The 21,767-nt window shown below is 40.8% G+C and overlaps 1 protein-coding gene across 3 annotated transcripts in view, besides 1 other annotated feature; it reads right to left on the minus strand.

Moving 5' to 3' along the window:
- Positions 1-21,767, minus strand: part of TMEM150C (transmembrane protein 150C) — a 79,078-nt gene that overhangs the window by 43,793 nt on the left and 13,518 nt on the right. The window lies entirely within an intron of this gene.
- Positions 4,928-5,222: an enhancer, noted in NCBI's record as "tiled region #10449; HepG2 Activating DNase matched - State 5:Enh". NCBI's record gives its function as "activates a minimal TATA promoter and a strong SV40 promoter by Sharpr-MPRA in HepG2 cells {active_cell/tissue: HepG2}" and the evidence as "EXISTENCE:reporter gene assay evidence [ECO:0000049][PMID:27701403]".

A 21,767-nucleotide genomic window follows, 5' to 3' on the forward strand; every position in this document is an offset into this window, starting at 1 on the left:
TGTCAGCCAATCTAGGAAAGGTTTCCCTCACCACCCAGATCATACTGGGTCTTTTTTTTTTTTTTTTTTTTTTTTGGCAAATAATTGCCCATATCTCCTATTTTACTTCACAGAGTAAACCTCAGGTATTTCAGCTTCAGTCATGTAGATATTGTGGTGGCTTTGTACTGTGTCACCTTGGCTCACCTGATCTGTGTTTCCCAGAGTTTCCTTACCTGTGTGTTTCCGGTGAGAATGGACACAAGAGACATTTTCACACGTAATTTGGAGGTGAAAGTGAAGCAGCAGCCATTTACAAAAATGCTCCCATTTTATTTTGGAATAATTTTAGATGTTCAGAGCCACTCTGTTCTTATGTTCCGAGGATCAGGGCAGGTGCTTTCACAGCTCGCACACGTACTTGTTTTTCTGTGGCTCCCCTACTTGGTGTGGGGCATCTGCTGGGCCTGCCACTGCTCCCCCTTCCTCTAGATGCTTCTTGGGCTTCTCTGACTGCTGGGTCAGGAGTGTGTTTAGCTCCACGACGAAAGGTACCCTCTTTCTGCAGGACACTCACACCATCAAGGCTGACGAGGGCTGACCGGGTTCCAGAGTCCTTGTGGGTCCGGGTTGATGCTCATGAGTTCTAGTTGAGCTTGTGGTAGGTTGCTTCCCTGTGCTCTCCCTCCATGCCTTCTTCCCATGGATCTGTCCCTTCCTAACTCTCTGCCCAGTGGACTTCTAACTCCAGCATCAGAAGTGAAGAAAACAGCTTCACACAGTTTAACCAGCTCTACAATTAAGTAAGCTCAAATCCCTGTAAACTGTGTGTGTATACATCATGGTTTTGCTTCTCTTTGAACCCTGACACAGATAGATAGATATAAACGGGTTGAAAGCTTGAATCCAATGAAAACATTACCTTTCATTGGTAAGGTCTCATTCTGGTAATTTATTCATATCCCGAAGTCAGGTTCAAGCAAAGAAGAAAGGAAGAAGAAAAGGCAAGGAGCAGGAAAAATAAAAGTAATTTGTGATAATGTAATATATGTCCACTTTGCACAGGCACTAGGCCAGTGCTAGAAATACAAAGATTAATATTAACCTTAGACCTCATAATCTATGGGGGAGGAGGATTCTTAAAGAGCTAACTATGATAGAATAAATGCTATATAATTGGCATGAATAAAGTACTACAGGAACATGGAGGAGAAAGTCATTAGTTCTAACTGACAGGACCAGGGAAGGCTCTGCAGGTGAAGCAGCACTGATGCTGGGCCATGAAGAATGAGTCATTCACCAGTGCAGGGGCTCTCGAACTTCAGCAGGCATCAAAATCACCTGCACGGGCTATTGCAACAGAAATTGCTGGGCCCCACCTCTGAAGTTCTGGCTCAGTAGGCCCCAGGTGAAACCTGAGAATTTGTATTGCTACAAGTTCCCAGGTGATGCTGATGTGCTCCTGGCCTGGGGACCACACTTTGAGAACCACAGCTCTAGTGAAAAAAGGTGGGGATGAAGATGGCACGTGTTCCAAACAGAGCAGAGGCAAATGGAGATATGCATAAAAATTCATTGGAAATTAATTTCCCCTGCCCACAGCCCCCTCTCTCATTCTCCTCTCTCTCTTACTATTTCTAGTTACTTTTCCTCGTCCCTTTTTTTTTTTTTTTTAGATGGAGTCTCTGTCACCGAGGCTGGAGTGCAGTGGTGCAATCTTGGCTCACTGCAACCTCTGCCTCCTGGGTTCAAGTGATTCTCCTACCTAAGCCTCCTGGGTAGCTGGGACTACAGGTGTGCACCAAGCCTAGCCAATTTTTGTATTTTTAGTAAAGACGGGGTTTCACCATATTGGCCAGGCTGGTCTTGAACTCCTGACCTCGTGATCTGCCCGCCTCGGCCTCCCAAAGTATCCTTGTCCTCTTTACCTACTGTCTTGGATGCATCAAGTTTTATGGTGTCTTTGAGGCACAAAAGTGGAGATGTACAGAAGGCAGGAGACAACCAGGGTCTCAAGTTCAGGTAAGTGGTCAGGCTGGACGTGTTGATTTGGGAGTCTACACAGAGTGGTAATAGAGGGAACATGAAAGCAGGGGGCAGTCAGCACACACGGAGAGTGTGTGAAGGGAGAGAGGAGCCAGCGGGAAGGCAGGGGAGGAGAGCACAGAGCACAGGAGAGCCAAAGACAGAGAAGCACCAGCAGTGGGAGGACAAAGGGGATGCTGCCAAGGAAGGGGAATGGGAACGATCAGAGAAACAGCAGAAGCACAAGAGAGTTGTTTTTTGTTTCTTTCCCTCCCTCCCTCCCTCCCTCTCTCCCTCCCTCCCTTCCTTCCTTCCTTCCTTTTTCTTTTTTTTTGAGACAGAGTCTTGCTCTGTTGCCCAGGCTGGAGTGCAGTAGCACAATCACAGCTCACTCCAGCCTCGACTTCCTGGGCTCAAGCAATCCTCCCATCTCAGCCTCCCAAGTAGCTGGGACCAAAGGCATATGTGCCATGCTTGACTAATTTTTTTGACATTTTCTAGAGATGGGATCTCACTATGTTGCCCAGGCTGACTCAAATTCCTGGGCTCAAGCGATTCTCCTGCCTTGGCCTCCCCAAGTGCTGGGATTACAGGTATGAGCCACTATGCCCACCTGTAAGAGTTTTGTTATGAAGGTCAAGGAGTGGTCAACTGTCTCAAATGCCACAGGTGAGGGCTGGAGAGAGGTCAAGGGATTGGCTAGTGAGTCGATCAGTGATGGCCTTTATCAGAGCAGTTTCAGCAGGACTGTGGAGACAGACTTCCCACTGCAATGATGTAAGATGAAAGGGAGGTGGGGAAGTAGAGAAAGTAAATGTGGGTTACTTTCAAGAGAAGCTTGGCTGTGAAAGAAAGGAAAGATGTGCAGGCATGAGTAAAGGGAAACCTACCTAAAAATTAAGAGAGAAATCTGCTTTTCAAAAAATAGAGAATTGAGCATATTTTATGGTTAATAGGAAAGAAGTAGAGGCTGAAAGTATGGAAAGAGGGAGGGAATGTGTAGGGCTCCATGTGCTGCAGGAGAATTCAGAGGACGGGCCCTCAGCCCAGGAGGGGAGGGCTGAGACACAGGAAAGTGAAAGGCTTGGATCATGCCTTTTGCTCTCTTTCAATCTCTCTCTCTCTCTCTCTCTAGAGAGAGAGAGTGAGAGAGATGGAGTCAGAGGGAGGGCAAAGGAGGGATGGAAGAAACAAGAGAGAGAGAAGGTAGTGGGAGATACAGGGGAGTGAAGAGATATGAGTTTGGAGTAATCCCTGAGGTGTGAGGAGGGTGAACAGACTTATAAAAACCATCCTGTTCAGGGGCCAGGCACGGTGGCTCAAGCCTGTAATCCCAGCACTTTGGGAGGCAGAGGCGGGTGGATCACGAGGTTAGGAGATCGAGACCATCCTGGCTAACACAGTGAAACCCCGTCTCTACTAAAAATACAAAAAATTAGCCGGGTGTGGTGGCGGGTGCCTGTAGTCCCAGTTACTCGGGAGGCTGAGGCAGGAGAATGGTGTGAACCCGGGAGGTGGAGCTTGCAGTGAGCCAAGATCGCGCCACCGCACTCCAGCCTGGATGACAAAGCGAGACTCTGTCTCAAAACAAAACAAAACAAACAAAAAAACCACATCCTGTTCCACACTGAAGGCCTAAATTGGCCTGGAATTCCTAAGTTTGTCTCCACAGAGTGATCAGCAGCCAATATACAATGGCATAAAAGGTAGATGGCTGTTATGAATCCATTCTCACACTGCTATAAAGAAATACCAGAGGCTGAGTAATTTATAAAGAAAAGAGGTTTTATTGGCTCACAGTTCTGCAGGCTGTACAGGAAGCATAGTAGCTTCTGGAGAGGCCTCAGGAAACTTACCATTATGGTGGAAGGCGAAGGGGAAGCAAGCACGTCTTACATGGCCGGAGCAAGAGAGAGTGAATGGGGAGGTAACACACACTTTTAAATAACCAGATCTCATGATAACTCTATCCTGAGACAGCACTAGGGAGATGGTGCTAAACCATTAGAAACAACCCCCATCATCCAATCACCTCCCACCAGGCCTCACCTCCAACACTGGGGATTACATTTTGACATGAGATTTGGGTGGCGACACAGATCCAAACCATATCAATGGCAAATGGAGCCAAGGCAAGGCAGATACAGCAAAATAAAAAGCAGCAAAGATGGAGACTTAGTAAGGAGTAAAGATCTAGTAACTAAGACAGGAATAGCAAGAAGAAAAATAAGGTGCCTGAAGAAACCCGTCTGGATGAGCTGCACTGAGATGCCTTCGAGACATTTAGGAGAGAAGTACGAGGATAGAAATATAACCTGTAGTTCAGAAGAGGTTAAAGACAGGTTTGGAAGTCAGCTGCATAGAGGTGCTGATTCAAGTCAAGGTCACTGTTGCAATAACCCAGGTGGACTATGTAGAATGGGAAGAAAGGATGGAGCCAAGGAGAACACTCATGTTTAGGGGGCAATGGAGGAATGGAGGCTGAAAAAGTGGTCATAGAAGGGCCAGGCATGGTGGCTCACACCTGTAATCCCAACACTGGGAGGCCAAGGTGGGTGGATCACCTGAGGTCAGGAGTTCAAGACCAGCCTGGCCAACATGGCGAAACCTCATCTATATTAAAATACAAAAAATTAGCTGGGCGTAGTGGCACACACCTGTAATCCCAGGTACGTGGGAGGCTGAGGCAGGAGAAGTGCTTGAACCCGGGAGGTGGAGGTTGTAGTGAGCCGAGATTGCACCATTGCACTCCAGCCTGGGCAACAGAGCAAGACTCTGTCTCAAAAAAAAAAAAAAAAAAAAAAAAGGTCATGGAAATAGAGGAAAATGAGGAAAGAATGTTGTCATGAAAGCCAAGGAAAGAAAGGTGCAAGACAAAGAGGTGGTCAACAATGTCAAATGTCCTTAGAGTTCAACCAGGACTAGCACTGAGAGGAGTCTGCTGGATTTAGCAATTCAGAGGTCACTGGTGACATTGGCATGAAAGGTTTTAGTAGGGCACAGGGTCAGAAACCAGGTTATAATTAAGTTGAGAAAGGGATGGGAGGAACTTTGGCTGTAAACAAACAGATGGAGCAATAGTTCAAAGAACAGTCAGGATCAAAGAAAGATTTTGTTTTTTGAGAGAGCTACAGTAAAACAGCACATTAGTACTGAGCATTTGTATAGGCTGATAATAAGAGCTGAAAAGAGAGTATGAATAAGACAAGATAACATGTTTGCTTATCAAGTTAGCAAACTTTTAATCAAAATGACAATGCTGGTGAGAATGCAAATTGAAATGCAAATATTTCTGGATTTGTCAAATATGTAGGAAGATGCAGCCCAGGCTATATTCAGGGATAAATTGGTGGTCTTAGATATTTTCATTATAGTAGAGACAGAAAGGAGGGAAGGAAGAGAAAAAGATGCACCCTCTTCATGAATTTAGAAAGAAACATATAAGGAAACCACGAGGGTGACAATAACAAAGTAAAAGCGACAATCAATGAGCTTTTTAAGACAGCAAAATTAACATGAAGAAATCCTAGAGCTGCTTCTAGAAAATTAAAATATCAAGTGTCTTAAGAAAGATATGCAAAGTAGCGTTATAAAGTATCTATAATATATATATGTACTGATGGGGGTATGTGTGTGTATATATGTATGTATATACATACATCTATAATTGTATATACATAGAACTTTAAGTTATAGGTTACAGCAAGGCAAAATAATTCTTGTCTATAGACATGCAAATTCTGTTCTGTCAAGTAAACTTTTTTTTTTTTTTTTGAGACAGAGTCTCACTCTGCAGCCCAGGCTGGAGTGCAGTGGCACGATCTCCGCTCACTGCAAGCTCCACCTCCTGGGTTCACGCCATTCTCCTGTCTCAGCCTCCCGAGTAGCTAGGACTACAGGTGCCTACCACCACGCCCGGCTAATTTTTTGTATTTTTAGTACAGACAGGGTTTCACTGTGTTAGCCAGGATGGTCTCGATCTCCTGACCTCGTGATCCGCCTGCCTTGGCCTCCCAAAGTGCTAGGATTACAGGTGTGAGCCACTGCGCCCGGCCTCAAGTAAACGTTTAATTGACTATTCTTTCTCCCACACTGCCACAAAACAATGAGTTTTGCTTCCATTTGCACATTTATTTCAATATTTATGAATCAATGTTGTTGGTCCATAGATGTGTCCACTTTCTGAATTCTCTTTTTAACTGGTTATAACTATAACATCTGCCTGATTCCCTCACTAATTAACGTGTACCATAAAGTAACGCATTCATTTATATATTTGTATGAGAGCCATGAATTTATCTTTTTCTGACAACTATCCTTTAACAGTTGCAAACTTTTAGAGAAAAGCTAATTTTAATGCTAAATCAATTATGCTCAAATATGGAAAATTATGGAAAGCTACTCAAACTTTTTTATAGGCTATTTCTGATGCCAAAAACTGATAAGCATATCTCCAAAAAAAGAAAACTACAAGCCAATTTTATTTCTGAACAAAATATATCAACTCTCACAGTTTTGAGCTGATGCAGTTTTACAGTTATTTATCAATTTTTTTACATATCTACCGTTTATGTCTTAAACAGACAAACAAAAAAGACATCAATTATTACTGTCCTTAGATCTCGTAACCAGTTTTATCAATTGGTACTGCAGAAAGATCTCTTTTAACTCCATCTTTTCAATATATGGATTGTCAGGCAGCTTTCTCAAACATGCCAGTAAGTACTTTGATAATTTTTTCAATGACCATAGTTTAAGGAGTAGTTAAGCTAGATTTGTAGAAACAAATAAGGAAGACCAAGTTCAAAGCATCAGCCTCTCAATAAAATATAAAGCCGCAGAAATGTTATCCGCACAATGAAAGAATGTAAATCAGGAAAAAAGTTACCTATCAGTCCAGGTTTCAATACTAACAAATCTGGTTTGTTTTAGAAGAGGTTACCATCTAGAACTTTCACATTACTGAATTTAGTTACAGATCCAAAACCAAAGTTGGTGCGATCCCTAATCCCCTTTGAAATCTTGGTTTTGGTAACTGGAGTTCTGCCAGACAAGCTACATTTGAGAACAAAGTCTCTCACAGTTGGTAAGAAATTGCTATTCTAGAAAATAAAACTTAGAATATAAAGAAAGAGTAGGCCACCAACTTACAGGGTTGTTATGGGAACAAATTAAGGGTGGGTTCTATTAGTGTTTATTTTGCAACGTTTATTTTGCAATGTTCTGGAAGCTTCGGACAATGTGAACAGCTAGAAATAACAAGTATAATTCTGTAAAGGAGGAGGCAAAAATAATTTGTTTCCAGGTGATAGGCTTATTTACCAACCAAGCCCCTCACCTCACCCCTGCAAAAGAGTTAACTGAAAAACTATTACATTTAACAATAGAGCTTAGCAAAGTGGCTGAATACAACATAAATATCTAAAAATCAACAGCTTTTCTGTGTACTTGCAAAAATAATTAGAAGATATAATAGAAAAAAGAAGCCATTTACAATGTGCAAGATGTAACATATAAAGGGAAAACTTTGCTAAAAGATAAAAAGACATCCCAAATAAATGGAGAGACAGTAAAGAGTTATCAATTCTGTGCAGATTACTTTACAGCAGCGTATCTCTAAATGGGGTCCAAGGATTACTGCCTCAAACATCACCTCAGATGCTGATTAGAATGCAGATTCCTGGTTTACAGATGCCCATCTTATAGAATTGGAGCAGAGGGAGGGTAAGTTTTCAAGAAACTTGTCTTCTTAACATGCTCCCCAAGTGATTGTAATACACATTAAAATTTAGAAACCACAGCTTTATGTAGGTTTCATAAAATTCCATGAACATCCCAACTTCACCTAGAATGAGAGCCATGAAGGGGGCTGGCCTAACATATGTTAAAGTGTATAATACACTTAAACACAAAGTATTTAAAGAAAGTATATCATAAACTTTAGTAATAAAAATAATGTGGTTTTGTAAAAAACCCAGCAAACAAATCAACAGAACTGAATAAACAGCACCAAGACAGACTCCTACATTAAGTTACAACAGAAGTAAAATTGTTTCTGTGTCAATTCTTGCATACACCAGAGAACTGCTGCATCTTTTTCACCCAGTTTGGAGGGTTTGTTTGGATGAATCTGATGCTACATGGTTGTCTTAGTCCATTTTCTGTTGCTATAACAGCATACCACAAACTGGGTAATTTATAAAGAATAGGAGTTGATTTGGCTCATAGTCCTGGAGGCTGGGAAGTCCATGATCAAGGGGTTGCATCTTGTGAGGGCTTTCTTGCAGGGAAAGAATATGGCAGAAGGTGTCAAATGGTGGGGAAGGGCAAGCACAAGATGGAGAAAAACAGGGCTGAACTTCCATGACAACTAACCCACTCTCTCAATAGCAGCATTAATCCATTTATTAGGGTGAAGCTGTCAAGACCTGATCATTCTTAAAGGTCCTACCTTTCAATACAATCACAATGGCAATTAAGTTTTGGCATGAGATTTGGAGGGGAGATTCAAACTGTAGCAATGGTATAGAAGCAATTCAGGTGGGGAAGCCACAGGTACACCTCAGAGGTACAGTGACAAGGAGAAACCATGCAATTCCCAGTCAGGATGTGTGGCCCATATGTATAAATATGTAATAAAACAACTAAAAGGGCCTTCAAGTTGGAAGAAAAAAGGGAACACCCAAGGAAATGTAGCCATTGACCTGGGATTGAGTTGTTTCTCATATGAGCAACTCTTTGTAGTAGGTTCTAGACTGGGTAGCAGCAGTAGTTTATGCATTAAAGAATATCTAATATGGGGAAGGTTGCTAGTGTAAGTTAATTTTTAAAATAGGGTTTCTCAGCAGAGGCACTATTAACATTTTAGCTGAATAATCCCTTGTTGTGGGGGCTGACTTGTGCATCCTAAGGTGTTTAGCACCATACCTGCCTCTACACGTTAGATGTATGTAGCACCCCCCTCCCTGCTGCAACAACCAAAAATATCTCCTGACATTGTCAAATGTCCCAGGCCGGGTTGGGAGTGTTGTGGGGAGGGGCAAAAATCACCTCTGGTTGAAAACAACTGCTTTAAAGCAATCAGTGAGGAATATAACAATTATTTAGGATGGGCGTGGTGGCTCATACCTGTAATCCTAGCACTTTGGGAGGCCAAGGCAGGTGGATCACGAAGTCAAGAGATCGAGACCATCTGGCCAACATGGTGATACCCCATCTCTACTAAAAACACAAAAATAAGCTGGTCCTGGTGTCATGCACCTGTAGTCCCAGCTACTCAGCAGGCTGAGGCAGGAGAATCGCTTGAACCCGGGAGGCGGAGGTTGCCGTGAGCTGAGATAGCACCACTGCACTCCAGCCTGGCAACAGAGCGAGACTCCATCTCAAAAAAAAAAAAAAAAAAAAAAGAATTATTTAATAAACGTGCTGGGAACATCAATTTTTAAACGGGGAAAAAATGACCCACCTATTTAGATACTCAAATCACACACATACGCTATAGGTGAAATAAAGAGTAAAAATGTAAAACTTGAAAACTATAACATGGCTAGAAAACTTACGTAAATATTTAGCTAATGTCTGGATAGGGAAGCATTTTCTAGGTTAAAAAACAAAGAATGAACAGCTGAGCATGATGGTGCATGCCTGTAGTCCCAGCTCCTCAGGAGGCAGAGGTGGGAGGATCGCTTAAGCCCAGGAGTTGGAGACCAGCCTGAGCAATATAGCAAGACCCCATTAAAAACAAAAAAAAAATGAAATATTGATATGTTTGACCACAGAAGGCTAAAATTCTGCAAAATTAAAAGGTCAATGACAAACTAGAAAAATACTTATAAGCAATAGGTCAAAGAACTGGCTAATATTCTTCATATATAATGTTAGTATCTATAAGAAGAGCACTAATGCATCAAAAGAAAAATGGGCAAGAGATGTAAACAAAGATTTTACATTAGAAGAAATACAAATATTCATAGTAAGTGCACAAAAATTTTGTTCAACTTCAACAATTATTATTATTATTATTTTTTGAGACTGGATCTCACTCTGCCGCCCAGGCTGGAGTGCAGTGGCTCGATCTAGGCTCACTACAAGCTCCACCTCCCAGGTTCACACCATTCTCCTGCCTCAGCCTCCCGAGCAGCTGAGACTACAGGCGCCAGCCACCACACCCGGCTAATTTTTTTTGTATTTTTTTAGTAGAGATGGGGTTTCACTGTGTTAGCCAGGATGGTCTCGATCTCCTGACCTTGTGATCTGCCCGCCTCGGCCTCCCAAAGTGCTGGGATTACAGGCGTGAGCCACCGCGTCCGGCCCAACTTCACCAATTATTAAAGAAATTTTAAAATAATGAATTTCCAATTTTACTGTATCCAAGAAGAAAATATATTTTTTAAAATGGTAATACTTAATGCAGGCAAAGAGGTAGACAAATGGGTATTCTCCATACCATTGATGATAAATGAGCAGGTCCTTTTACACCCTTTGGAAAACAACTGGGTGATAGGTATCAGGAGGCTTAAAAATGCTCCTATCCTTGACTTCCTATTTCTGCTCACACAAATTCACACTAAGCGTACTGGACTGAATTGTGTCCCTCCAGAGGATGTGTCCAAGACCTAATCCCCATTACCTGTGAGTGTCATCTTCTTTGGAAATAGAGGTTTTGCAGATGCAATTAGTTAAGGATCTTGAGAAGTGATCTTCCTGGATTTAGGGTGGGACCTAAATCCAATGACTGATGTCCTTATAAAAAAGAGGAGAGGAAATAGACACACATAGGGAAGAAGCACACATGAAGACAGAGGCAGAGATTGGAATAATGCTGCCAGAGAAGGCCAGGAGCCACCAGAAGCTGGAAGAGGTGAGGAAGGATTCTCCCCTAGAGCCTTCAATAGGAGCAGGGCGCTGCTGACAACTTGGTTTTGGATTTCCGGCCTCCAGGACTGTGAAAGAATAAGTTTCTCCTGTTTTAAGCCACAAAGTCTGTGGTAATTTGTTGTGGCAGCCCTTGGAAACTAATACACTAAGGAAACAATCCAAGATATGAACAAAAGTTTATATATAAAGATGTTCATCTCTGCATTATTTTTATTTTATTTTATTTTGAGACAGAGTCTCGCTCTGTCACCCAGGTTGGTGTGTGGTAGCGCGATCTTGGCTCACTGAAACCTCTGCTTCCAGATTCAAGCGATTCTCCTGCTTCAGCCTCCTGAGTAGCTGGCACTACAGGTACCCACCACCACGCCTGGCTAATTTTTGTGTTTTTAGTAGAGGCAGGGTTTCACCACGTTGGCTAGGCTGATCTCGAACTCCTGACCTCAAATGATCCACCCATCTCAGTCTCCCAAAGTGCTGGGATTACAGGCATGAGCCGCCGCACCCAGCCTATGCATTATTTTATAACAGCAGAAAGTTAGAAAAAAACCTGAAGCAATGAAAAACAGAGGAAGGAGTAAGTTATAGTGTACCTATAATTAATTCGCAGTCATTCAGATATGTTTTTGAAGAATTTCTAATGCCATAGGAAAATGCTTATATATACAGAAAATTCAGGATATAAGTGTATGTACAATGTAATCCCCAAATGTAATTACATATGATATATACTTATTGCCCTGATAAATAAGATGGGTAAAAAAAGTCTGAAATAGAAAATAGCATATGTCAACAATATACTAGAAGAAAAATAAACCATTACCCCGGAGAGTTTATCCCAGAAAATTTACAGTTGTTATTATCAACATGTAATATATTAATGAGTCAAAGCCTTAGAATGAACTCAAAAGATGTTAAAAAGACATTTGAGGGACCAGGTGCAGTGGCTCATGCCTGCAATCCCAGCACTTTGGGAGGCTGAGGTGGGCAGATTGCTTGAGCTCAGGAGTTTGAGACCAGCCTGGGCAACATGGCGAAACCTTAACTATACCAAAAATATTATACAAAAATTAGCCAGGTGTGGTGTCGCACACCTGTAAGTCCTAGCTACTCAGGAGGCTAAGGTGGGAGGATCACTTGAGCCTGGGAGGTCAAAGCTGCAGTGAGCTGAGATCACGCCACTGCACTCCAGCCTGGGGAACAGACCTAGACCCTGTCTCAAACAAACAAACAAACACAAAAGATATTTGATAAAATTCAGTGATCGTTCCTTACAAAATAGCTAAGAAAACCAGGAATAAAAAGATTTTATAATGAGTATCTCTCTTTTTCAAACTCTTTTTCAAAGTACCATCCAGCATCATTCTTTGGGATGAAAGGGGAGCTTTCCTATTAAACAAAATTAGGATGAATGAATACTATTATCATGATCATTAATGCTGTTCTGGCCGTTTTTACCAATTCAGTAAGATGAGAAGCAAAAATAAGGGGTCTAATTACAATAACATAGAATTATTATCTGCAACAGCAAGACCAGAGAATTGATTAAAATATTATTGGAATTAATGAGTGTTCATATAATGAATTGGATAAAGGATAAAAATCCAAACAACTTTTTTTTTTTGAGACAGAGTCTCGCTCTGTCGCCCAGGCTGGAGTGCAGTGGCACGATCTCGGCTCACTGCAAGCTCCGCCTCCCGGGTTCACGCCATTCTCCTGCCTCCGACTCCCGAGTAGCTGGGACTACAGGCGCCCGCCACCACGCCCGGCTAATTTTTTGTATTTTTAGTAGAGATGGTGTTTCACCGTGTTAGCCGGTATGGTCTTGATCTCCTGACCTCGTGATCTGCCCGCTTCTGCCTCCCAAAGTGCTGGGATTACAGGCGTGAGCCACCGTGCCTGGCCACAACTTTTAAATATACAGAATAAAAATGGAAACATCTACAATAGCAACAAAACCCATAAAATATTGAGGACTACCTATAAGAAATGTACATGAACAAATCCCACAAAACTACTAAGAGACACAAAAACTTGAATAAATGTTCCTGGAAGGTAAATTATTAACAGAATACTGTGAAGAAAACCACTCTTGCCAAATTTAGAGATACCAAAGAATTCAATAGAAAAACTTAAGGAGATTAGTTTGGAATTTGACAGTGTTTCTAATGTTCATCTGGAAGAAGGAACTGTTGAGGCAAACACCTGCACATAAAATTGGTGTCTAAGCCCAAATAAGTCATAGTCATTCAATGTTTCTACCTATTCTTTTTTTTTTTTTTTTTTTTTTTTTTTTTTTTTTTTTTTGAGACAAGGTCTTGCTCTGTTGTCATGGCTCACTGCAGCCTTAACCTTCTGGGCTCAAGTGATCCTCCCATTTCAGCCTCCTGAGTAGCTGGGACTACAGGTGCATGCCACCATGCCCGGCTAATTTATTGATGTTTTTGTTGAGATGGGGTCTCACTATGTGGCCCAGGCTGGTCTCAAACTCCTGAGTTCAAGCAATCCTCCCCACACCTCAGCCTCCTAAAGTGCGGGGAACACAGTGTGAGCAACCGCGCCTGGCTATTACCTATTCTTTTAATTAGTGTTTCACTACCTGGGAAGCTTCAAAACTGAAGGGTGTTTTCTTAAAAAGGTTTTGCTTTTTTCCATCTAAGCATTATTATTATTAATATTAATATTTTGCATCTTATTGCTTTTTATCCTGGCTAAGTTCTTCTAGGGAAATGCAAACCCTTGCAAAGCTCTGTGGTTATTTAAAAGAAGCACCCATTGAAACGTTTTTATTTACATAATTACTATATTTTTATCCTGACACAAAGACAGGTTGATTTATTGTTGTGTGCTATTTTTTAATTGACAAATAAAAGTTGTATATATTTATGGTGTACAACATGATGTTTTGATATATGTATGTACTGTGGAATGGATAAATCAAACAAATTAATATATGCATTATCCCACATACTTATTTTTCTGTGGTGAGAACACTTAAAATCTACTCTCTTAGCAATTTTCAAGTATACAATGTATTGTCATTAGCTCTAGTCACCATGATGTACAATAGATCTTGTGAACTTATTCTTCTAAGACAGGTTGATTTGAATCCCAGCTCTGTCTCTACTAGCTGTTTGAATTTAAGCAATTTATTTAATCACAGTGCACTCCAATTTATTTATTTTTGAAAAGCAGATTAATGTACCTACCTCAAATATTTGTTATGGGGATGCAGTCACATAATTATTATCTAGTGCAGGGTTTGGCACATACTAGAAGCTTAGTAAGGATGATTTATATACTTTCCTTAGCAAGGAAATCCTTAGTAAGGATAAGTTATATACTTTCTATCCTTCTATTCCTTTCTCTGTATTTCCCCAAAGTTTTCTTATGTAAATATTTAACCCTGATTTGATTCAATCTCATAATATGGGTAGATCATAGTTGTTCACATGTATGTCTGCTATGCTCAGCTGTAATTTCTTAGAGAGAGGAGGCAATGTTTCATTCATCTACACATCTATACAGCTCCTAGCTCATTGCTCTCCTCATTTCAGATAACCATTGATGTGAAAAAACAGAAGAAAAAGAAGGAACAGAGAGGGGAAAAGAAAAGGAAAAGGATGTTGATTATAATGATGGATGTACTATGTCTGTACTCTAGCAACAACATTTTATTTCATTATTTCTTAAATTTAATAAAACTTCAGTATTAGATGATATTCTAAATTAGTACAAAGAGATGACTTGAAATGTACAGATCAGACTAAATCAGTGAGGAGCCCAAAATAAGCCACAAATCAATTTGTACACATTTATTGAATTCCCACTATGTACTTAAATACTGAATTCCCACTATGTACTTAAATGACGGTGGGGTTCCAGCTCTTAATTCAATAGTCTATCCATGGTTAAATAGTGACGAACTGTTGATATACTAAAACAGCCCAAGTCTCATGTATTCTAAAAAGTCAAGAAATACATACTTACGGTTCTCATAAAAAGTCAAGAAATATATACTTATGGTTCCCATAATAGTAACAGCCCTGCCTTGCTCTATAATATTATTTTGTTTTACTGCATATGGTCTGGACTCTAGGGCTATACTTAATGCGCAGTAAGGTAGAAATACAGCTGCCAAGAGAAAAATGTTATTGATTTATTTTTTTACTTACACGTACAAAACAAGGACAGTTTTCCTAAATGCCCAACTGGAAAGCTTATAATAATTTTAATATTATCAACTTGGTCTGAGTCTTTAATGAGAAGATACTAATAAAAATGGCATCTAATAAAGCTGTTAATTAAATATAACCAAATGCCAAAATATAGGAGGAAGCCAGTCAATATTTAGGAAAAGGTAAGGTTTATGGAATAAGTGGGTCTTAAAGCTGTGGACAAATGTAAATAAATAGAATGGGCCAGGGAGGGCATTTCAATGTGGGAACCATGAAAACAGAAGAAGACAGGACAGGGTTCAGATCAGTGGGCAGTAAAAGTCTACATAAGCGAGGAACTGGAAGAAAAATGTGGACAAATAAAATGGGTTCAGATTATATGTGGCCTTGAATGCCAATCCCTGTAGCTTGGATTTGGTCCTATAAATAAGTAGTCACTCAAGAGGGCTCTGGGATGCAGGGAGACCTTGTGAAAGTGAAGTGCAGGGAAGATGAGGTAAGCAGGACCTACTCATGAGATTCCGGTGGCCAAAAGGCAGGAGGTAGGGAAACCAGTGTGGAAACTAGTACAGGGTTTTCACACATCAAACCATGGTTATTTAACATTGTCTTAAAAATTTGTAATGCATGGGAGTTCTCAGACTTATTTCTAAATAGCAAGTGGTGGAAGAAGAGAGTAGGTAGAAGAGTTCCAGGCAGGTCAGTTCAAGCTCAGTCCTTCTTGGAACCTTATATTTGCATCAAGGTGATTGCCAGTGTCATTAAATGGATCCAGGTGAAAGACACACTAGCTGGACCGAAGAAAATGTGAAACTGAAAGGAATTACCACTAGTTAAGACCGGGAAAGACACAGTACTGAAAGTACTTCACGGTGTGAAGACCTTCCATGAGCAAGACCTCATGGAATACATATTACCTTTATGTGAATAGCACTTTGCAAAATGTTTCATGCACTGTATTAATGACTGTTATGTATATAGCACTTACTATGTGCCTGGCACAACTAATACAACAACCCTAGGAGGTAGGTACTAGCATCCACTTTTACAGATGCACAAAAGTAATAACCTGTCCAACATCACGTTGCTGGGAATACTGGAACCAGGATTGGGCCCAGGGGGTCTAACTCCAGGACCTGTGCTCTTAACACTACACTCTGCTGCTTCTCATTCTACTTCCTCTTTAAGATCAATCTTACTTGTTCAACAAATATTTACAGAGTTCTTACTTGCAAGGATCTATCCCATATATTGAGTTTCCAGTGGTGGATGAGCCATGACCCCTACTTTCAACCACATACAGTTTAGAGATCCAGACAGACAAGTATATCCACATTTTACTGCTGAAAAATGGAAACCTAAGCTAAAATAAATAACTTATCCAAGCATACAGCCAATATAGCAGGTGATTAGGCCAGGACTTGAATGCTGATATTACATCTGCAAGTCTAATGCTTATTCCAAGTAACGCTGTTACTACTTTTTCTAGCCTACTAGAAAAAAATGAAAGAAAACAACAATATAAAAACCAGAACTAACTAGTCTAGCCAGATTTCTACAAAAGGGCCTGATCTTGGATGAAGACAACATTGAATGAAGAGGCTGTGACTCTGATGCAAATAGCACAGGTTACCTATGCCCATATACAACATACTCATTCAAGAGCTAAACAATGTATCATTTCAAACATGAAATGTCCTGTCATCAATCAATATTTTTCCTAAAATTATTTCAGATGCTCTGGAATAAACCATTCACATAGGGCCAATTCTCTCAAGGAAAAATCAAGAGAAACCCTTGTGGGCCGAGAAGCTGAAGACCACTCCAATCAGTTCATTTCCACAGTAATTAAAACTGTCTTTCATTTTTCCTTCTGTCCCTTCAATGTCCCCTAAGGGAGGCCTACAGATCCTCCTTTGATACATAAGAAAATTTCCCCAAACTACCTAACTATATCATTTTGCAAGATTTGTTTTACCAAATTTTGATGGCCTTTCTGAGCTTGTCAGTGTGAACCACTATTACGAACGATCGGATATTAACTGCCCCTCACCGTCCAGGTGTAGCTGGCAACATCAAGTGCAGTAAATATTCATTAAGTTTTCACCTACTAAGGTGCTTAAACACCCTAGGGTGCCATGTCGGTAGCAGATCTTTTGATTTGTTTTTATTTCCCATAAGGGTCCTGTTCAAGGTCAATCATACATGTAGTGTGAGCAGCTAGTCACTATCGCATGACTTGGAGGGTGATAATAGAGGCCTCCTTTGCTGTTAAAGAACTCTTGTCCCAGCCTGTCAAAGTGGATGAATTTAAGGAAGAGAAGTTTGATAACAGGGAACTAGCAGGGTTATTAAGGAAGTTAACAGGTATTTATTGAACATGCCTGATGGGCCCAACACAACAGAAGGCCCTGCCCACCTGACCCAGCATAGGCGCCAGAGTTGACCAGTATCATTAAGATCAAAATGTATGGCCGAGCACAGTGGCTCATGCCTGTAATCCCAGCACTTTGGGAGGCCCAGGCAGGTGGATTCCTTGAGCCCAGGGGTTCGAGACCAGCCTGGGCAACATGGCAAAACCTTGTTTGCACAAAAAATACAAAAATTAGCCAAGTGTGGAGGTGCACACCTGTGGTCCCAGCTACTTGGGAGACTGAGGTAGGAGGATGGCTTGAGCCAGGCAGGTAGAGGCTGCAGTGAGCCATGTTTGCACCACTATATTCCAGCCTGGGTGACAGAGTAAGACTATGCAAAAAAAAACTGAAATGTAGCATTTGTTTTTCAGTCTTCCAAGATTGAATCAGAAAATGAAACTCTGGACAGACCAATATCAAGTTCTGAAATTTAAGCAGTAATTTAAAAAAATCTACAAATGAAAAAAGCCCCAAAAATCTACCAATGAAAAAAGACCAGATGTATTCACAGCCAAATTCTACCAGATGTACAAGGAAGAGCTGGTACCAATTCTACTGGAACTAGTCAAAAAATCAAGGAGGAGGGACTCCTCCCTAACTCATTTTATGAAGCCAGCATCACCTTGATAACAAAATCTGGTAAAGATGTAACAAAAAAAGAAAACTACAGGCCAATATCCCTGATGAACATAGACACAAAAGTCCTCAACAAAATACTAGCAAATCGAATCCAGCAGCACATCAAAAAGTTAATTCCCCGTGATCGCATAGGCTTCACTTCTGGGATGCAAGGCTGGTTCAACATATGCAAATCAGTAAATGTGATTCATAACATAAACAGAATTAAAAACAAAAACCATATCATCATCTCAATAGATGTGGTAAAAGCTTTCAATACAATCCAACATTCTTTCATGATAAAAATAAAGAAGCTAGGCATTGAAGGAACATACCTCAAAATAATAAGAGCCATCTAGGACAAACCCACAGCCAACATTATACTGAATGGGCAAAACCTGGAAGCGTTCCCCTTGAGAACTGGAGCAAGACAAGGATGCCCACTCTTACCACTCCTATTTGACATAGTACTGGAAATCCTTGCCACAGTAATCAGGCAAGAGAAAGAAAATAATAAATAGGAAAAGAAAAAGTCAAACTATCTCTCTTTGTGGGTGGTATGAATCTATACTTAGAAAATCCTATAAACTTGGCCAGGTACAGTGGCTGACACCTGTAATCCCAGCACTTTGGGAGGCTGAGGCTGGCAAATCACTTAAGGCCAGGAGTTTGAGAACAGCCTGGCCAACATGGCAAAACCCTGTCTCTACTAAAAATACAAAAATTAGCTGGACATGGTGGTGCACAGCTCCCAACTACTCGGGAGGTTGAGGCATGAGAATTGCTGGAACCCAGGAGGCGGAGGTTGCAGTGAGCTGAGATTGCACCATTGCGCTCCAGCCTGGATGACAGAGGGAGACTCTGTCTCAAAAAAACAAAAAAAAAAGCTAAGAGCCAAATCAAGAACACAATCCCATTTACAATAGCTGCAAAAAACAAAATAAAACAAAAAATCTAGGAATATATCTAACCAAGGAGGTAAACGATCTCTATAAGGAGAACTACAAAATACTGCTGAAAGAAATTACAGATGACACAACCATGGAAAACATTCTATGCTCACAGATTGGAAGAATCAATATTATTAAAATGGCTGTTCTTCCTAAAACAATCTACAAATTCAACACTATTCCTATCAAACTACCAATGTCATTTCCCACAGAACTAGAAAAAACCTATTCTAAAATTCACATGGAACTAAACAAGAGCTGGAATAACCAAAGCAATCCTAAGCATAAAGAACAAAACCAGAGGTATCACATTACCCAACTTCAGACTATACTATAAGGTTACAGTAACCAAAACAGCATAGTACTGGTACAAAAACAGACAGACTAGTGGAACAGAATAAACACAGAATTAATGCCACACACCTGCAGCCACCTGATCTTTGACAAAATTGACAAAAAATAGGCAATGGGGAAAGGACTCCCTACTCAGTAAATGCTGCTGGGATAGCTGGCTAGCCTTATGCAGAAAAATAAAACTGGGGCCGGGCGTGGTGGCTCACGTCTGTAATCCCAGCACTTTGGGAGGCCGAGGCGGGCAGATTACGAGGCCAGGAGATCGAGACCATCTTGGCTAACACAGTGAAACCCCGTCTCTACTAAAAATACAAAAAATTAGCCAGGCATGGTAGTGGGTGCCTGTAGTCCCAGCTACTTGGGAGGCTGAGGCAGGAGAATGGTGTGACCCGGGAGGTGGAGGTTGCAGTGAGCCAAGATCGCGCCACTGCACTCTAGCCTGGGCAACAGAGTGAGACTCTGTCTCAAAAATAAATAAATAAAATAAAATAAATAAAACTGGACTTCTACCTTTCACCATATACAAAAATTAACTCAAGATGGATTAAATATTTAAATGTAAGGTTTCAAACTATAAGAATCCTAGAAGAAAACCTAGGAAACACCATTCAGGACATCAACCTTGGGAAAAGAATTTATGACTTAGTTCTCAAAAGCAATTGCAACAAAAATAAAAATTGAGAAGTGGGACCTAATTAAGCTAAAGAGTTTCTGCACAGCAAAGGAACTATCAACAGAGTAAACAGACAACCTACAGAATGGGAGAAGAAAATGTTGGTAAACTATGCACGTAACTAAGGTCTAATATCCAGAATTTATAAGAAACAATTAAACAAGCAAAAAACAAATAACCCAAATAAAAAATGAGCAAAAGACATGAACACACACGTCTCAAAAAAAGACATACAAGCAGCCAACAAACATGAAAAAAAAAAAAGGTTTAATCAGCTGGGCGCAGTGGCTCATGCCTGTAATACCAGCACTTTGGGAGGACAAGGTGGGCGGATCATTTGAGGTCAGGAGTTCGAGACCAGTCTGGCCAATATGGTGAAACCCCATCTCTACTAAAAATACAAAAATCAGCCGGGCATGGTGGCACACGCCTGTAGTCCCAGCTACTTGGGAGACTGGGGCAGGAGAATAGCTTGAACCCAGGAGGCGGAGGTTGCAGGGAGCTGAGATTGCACCATTGCACTCCAACCTGGGCATCGCAGCAAGACTGTCTCAAAAATAAAAAAAAAAGAAAAAAAAGGTTTAATCACCAGAGAAATGCAAATCAAAACCACAATGTGATACCATCTCCCACCAGTCAGAATGGCTATTATTAAAATGTCAAAAAACAACAGATGTTGGCAAGGCTGCAGAGAAAAGGGAATGCTTAGGAACTGTTGGTGGGAATATAAATTAGTCCAGTCACAGTGGAAAGCAGTTTGGAGCAGTTCAAAGAACTTGAAACAGAACTACCATTCAACCCAGCAGTCCTCTTACTGGATATATAGCCAAAAGAAAATATATCATTCTACCAAAAAGACACATGCACTCATATGTTCATCACAGCTCTATTCACAATAGCAAAGACATGGAATCAACCTAGGTACCCATCAATGGGGAACTGGTCCAAGAAAATGTGGTACATATACACCACGGAATACTATACAGCCATAAAAAAGAATGAAATCATGTCCTTTGCAACAACATGGATACAGCTAGAGGCCATTATCCTCAGTGAATTAATGCAGAAACAGAAAAACAAATACCGTACGTTCTCATAAGTGGGAGCTAAACAATGGGTACTCATGGACATAAAGATGAGGACTACCAGAGAGGGGAGGGAGGACAGAAAGGACTGAAAAACTAACTATTGGGTACTATGCTCAGTACCTGGGTGATGAGAACAATTGTATCCCAAACTTCAGTATCATGCAATATATTTAGGTAACAAACTTGGACATGTACCTCCTAAACAGCTGAAATTACTTAAAAAATTAAAACATAGTTTTTCAATCACTTAAATATCAAATTTATTTTCAATAACATCTCATTTATTTTTAATAAAATGTAATATATTTAAAAATCTTTACATTGTTCGTGCAAGGGGCAGCAGGGTGTTGTGGAATGAAGGGTCCCAGGGCAAGTCTACCATCTCCTTTCCCATTGCCTTTCTGAGCATGCTGCAGTCCAGTCCCTCTGAACCAAAAGTGGCTCCCCAAATTGCTGAGCTTGCTGGCTGGGCTCTGTGCTAGATGGAGTGAATATGAAGACACAGTCCCACTCCCATGCAATTCATAGATAATTAATTAGGAAATAAGTGCAGCAGCTGGAAATTGGTACAGGAAACCAGGGAGCTCCAAAGAGAGGAAACTAACCCAGCACTG

The sequence above is a fragment of the Homo sapiens genome, chromosome 4 (genome assembly GCF_000001405.40).
Source record: "Homo sapiens chromosome 4, GRCh38.p14 Primary Assembly".
In the NCBI taxonomy this organism is placed as follows: domain Eukaryota; kingdom Metazoa; phylum Chordata; class Mammalia; order Primates; family Hominidae; genus Homo; species Homo sapiens.